Raw genomic sequence first — 3,950 nt, 5'->3', positions numbered from 1 at the left:
GCACAGGCTGGAGTGCGGGGGCACGATCTCGGCTCACTGCAACCTCCGCCTCCTTGGTTCAAGCAATTCTCCTGCCTCAGCCTCCCAAGTAGCTGGGATTACAGGTGCCTGCCCCCACGCTTGGCTAATTTTTTTGTATTTTTAGTAGAGACGGGGTTTCGCCATGTTGGCCAGGCTGGTCTGGAATTCCTGACCTCAGGTGATCCAACCGCCTTGGCTCCCAAAGTGCTGTGATTACAGGCGTGAGCCACTGCGCCCAGGTGATTATTTTAAACATTAAAGTAAATGATAAGCTTATGACATGCCACAAGTCAACCTGTTCAGGATCTTAAAGCAATGCAAACAATGACACTCTTCTTCCTGATGGGGTTGAGGGTGGCTTACTTGTCAGGAGACAGGTAGCTTAGGATGTTTTAGGCTAGGGACACTGCAGATCACTAGAAAGAATTTGAAGGCAGTCACTGGAAAAATAGAGGTGAATTTATCTGGTATAGATTTCATAGATGATTGAGCATTTAAAGACTCATCTCTTCTCTTAGATCCAGTGCTAAAACAGAAGATACCCACCTGTGATGGTTAATATTAAGTGTCAACTTGATAGGAATGAAGGATTCAAAGTATTGTTCCTGGGTGTGTCTGTGAGGGTGTTGCCTAAGAGATTAACATTTGAGTCAGTGGGCTGGGAGAGGCAGACCCACCTTCAATCTGAGTGGGCACCATCTAATCAGTTGCCAGCACTGCTAGAATAAAGCAGGCAGAAGAAGGTAGGTGAAGCCAACTTGCTGAGTCTTCTCACCTCCATCTTTCTCCCGTGCTGGATGCTTCCTGCCCTTGAACATCAGACTCCAAGTTCTTCAGCTTTTGGACTCTGGGACTTAACCAGTGGTTTGCAAGGGGCTCTCAGGCCTTCGGCCACAGACTGAAGCCTGCACTGTGGCCTACTCTACTTTTGAGGTTTTGGGACTCGGACTGGCTTCCTTGCTCCTCAGCTTGCTGATGGCCTATTGTGGGACTTCATCTTGAGATGGTGTGAGTCAATTCTCCTTAATAAACTTTCCCTAATATATACATCTATCCTGTTAGCTCTGTCCCTGTAGAGAACCCTTACTAATACACCACCCATCGACCGGTAAAATATTATTTAGTCCTTACGAATCTATTTTCCCCTTTGATCAGTTTTGGTTCTATCTAATCAATATCAACCTTACTTTTGCACAGTTCCTTATTCTTGGCCTATACAAAGCAGGAAGCTTGCCAGTCTCTTTTCCCTCTAAGTTTGGCAGTCCCTAACCAGAGGGTTAATATTGCTAGTGCTGAACTTCACTGCTTCATAAGGAATCCCACTCCAGCTTCAGCGGCTGGAATTCTTTTCTTATTTGGAGACAAAATATTCCTCCCTGCTCATTCCACTCATTTGCCCAGTTTAGTCCACTGAAGCTATAGAAATCTCTTCTAACTTCCAAGTATTTTAAAGCAGCAATAATCCCGCCCCACTTCCCATATCTCTTTTCAAATGTTTCAACTGTCATCCATTCACTTTTTCTTAAGTCAATTCTGCGGTATGTTAAGCATTAATATAAGAAAAATAAAGGGCAGCCTTTTAAAATTAAATATAGAGTTAACTCACCAACTTAGACTCACACACTATTCCTCAGGAAGATCACAGAAGAATAACATAGCTATTGGAAAAGGACATCTAAGCTCTTTATAGCTAAAGAAGATGAAAGGAGTATTTCCAGCAGGGTGGGGGCCGGAGGTGGCTCAGGCTTAAAAGGACATGAGGTAACTGAGACTGAATTTAAACAAAACTGGAGAATAAAACGACTGGGGGAAAAAAAAGATAATTATGTCTTACAACAATTACCCTGGCTATGAAGCAAAATTAGCATAGTCCTTTCTAATTTAAATGTGTTGAAAGTGGCTGAGCATGACAGCAGAAAATTACAAGGTTTAGGACATAGGCTTTGGTTAAAGTGATGGCAATTGGATTATCTTGGCATTTTCTGCTGATAGCAATGATTATAAACTTACCTATAAATATTAACTGTTTAATGCTAGGTGAGGTTTTATTTTGCCGGAAAGTACAGAGTCACTCTGTACTTGAAGTTGGTTTTGTGTATTTTTTTCTTATTTAGTTTAATTTTGGTTTGTATTATTACTCATAGGTTCGGTTACTTTTTAATACCAGATAATTGTTTCTTCCTTCTTTCCCTCCCTTCCTTCCTTTCTTCTTTCTGTCATTCCTTCCTCCCTCCCTCCTTCGTTTCTTTCCTTCCTTCCTTCCCTTTTTTTGTTTCTCTTTTCCATCATTGGATCGAAGGGGAAAATGAGGAAGTCTTATAGATGGGGTTTCTTACAAGAACTTTTTTCAGCTTCACTCACTTTCCCATAGAGGAGCTATTACTCCAATATGCCAATTTCCAATTCAACTATAGCTTCATTTCCAATCAAAAGTTTTCTAAGCTGCATAATCATCTTTAGTTCACTCTGCAACACGGTTTTCTCAACTGTTGGGTTCGTGTACCATTGATCCATTTAAATTATTTGGCGCTTTGCTGTGTTTCCTCATATCACTATTTTTATGTAAGAGAATTCATCTGCCAGTACTTTGCCTGTTATCCCCACCCCCCATCTAATCACCCAAAGTAAAATATACCTTTATTTAGTAAACATTATTTCATGATTTGAGGAGAAAAATCTACATTTTCCATGTAGACAAAGTCAACAAAGACTTACAATTAACAAAAAATTAAAAGTTAATGGTTAAATGAACTGTGTAGGCAACAAATAAGTTGCCACGAGATTTCACCCAGGGTTTCTAAATCCCGGCACTAGTAACATTTTGGTTCAGAGGATTTTTTTTGTGGTAGGGCTCTGTCCTATGCACTGTAAGACATTAGTAGCATGTCTGGTTAGAGACCCATTCGATGACAGTTGTGATAACCACACATCTCCAGACATTGCCAGGTATCCTGGGGGGCTGGGGGCATATTACTCCCAGTTGAAAACCACTGATTGAACCCAAGCAGAAAAGGTCTTTAACAGTGGGGGAAATAAATAATACACTATTACATACTATCCTTTTTTTTTTTTTTAAGTTCCAGGGTACCTGTGCAGGTTTGTTACGTAAGTAAACATGTGCCATGGTTGTTTGCTGCACCTATCAACCCATCACCTACGTATTGAGCCCAGCATGCACTAGCTATTTTTCCTGATGCTCTCCTTGCCCTGCTCCACAGGCCCTAGTGTGTGTTGTTGTGCTCCCTGTGTCCATGTGTTCTCATGGTTCAGCTCACACTTATGAGTGAGGACATATGGTATTTGGTTTTCTGTTCTTGCATTAGTTCGCTGAGAATAATGGCTTTCAACTTCATCCACGTCCCTGCAAAGGACATGATCTCATTGCTTCTTATGGCTGCATAATATTCCATGGTTATATGTATCACATTTTCTTTATCCAGTCTATCATTGATGGGCATTTGGGTTGATTCCATGTCTTTGCTATTGTGAACGGTATAACACACTATTCTTACTTGGATTAATTTATCTGCCACACATATCTAGTTATTGGCAATAGAAACTTACAGTGGTCTGAATGAACTAGAAGAATTGGTGGTGAGCTACTGGTAACAGAGACAGAAAATAGTAGTAGTTTAAATAAGAGAGAAGCTTATTTGTCTATTATTCTAGAGAAGTCTGGAAAGAGGCCCTTCCCTGTTGGTTGGGGGCTCTCTGGTACTGTCAGGGTCCTGTGACTCGTCTTTTTGTTTCATCATCCATAGAACTTGGCTTTCATATCCAGCTCCCGGGTATCTGTGGAGTGCCAGGTAGGTTGCTAAATCATCAAACTGGAAGCAAGAACCAGGACTGGCAGGGCAAAAAGGAGCAAAGGGAAGATTCCCAGAAGCTCCTCAACCAACTAGAAGCTAGAAGAAAGGCTAGGAAATGTA

The sequence above is a fragment of the Homo sapiens genome, chromosome 15, assembly GCF_000001405.40.
Source record: "Homo sapiens chromosome 15, GRCh38.p14 Primary Assembly".
Taxonomy (NCBI): Eukaryota; Metazoa; Chordata; class Mammalia; order Primates; family Hominidae; genus Homo; species Homo sapiens.
This window is presented reverse-complemented; position numbering follows the sequence as displayed.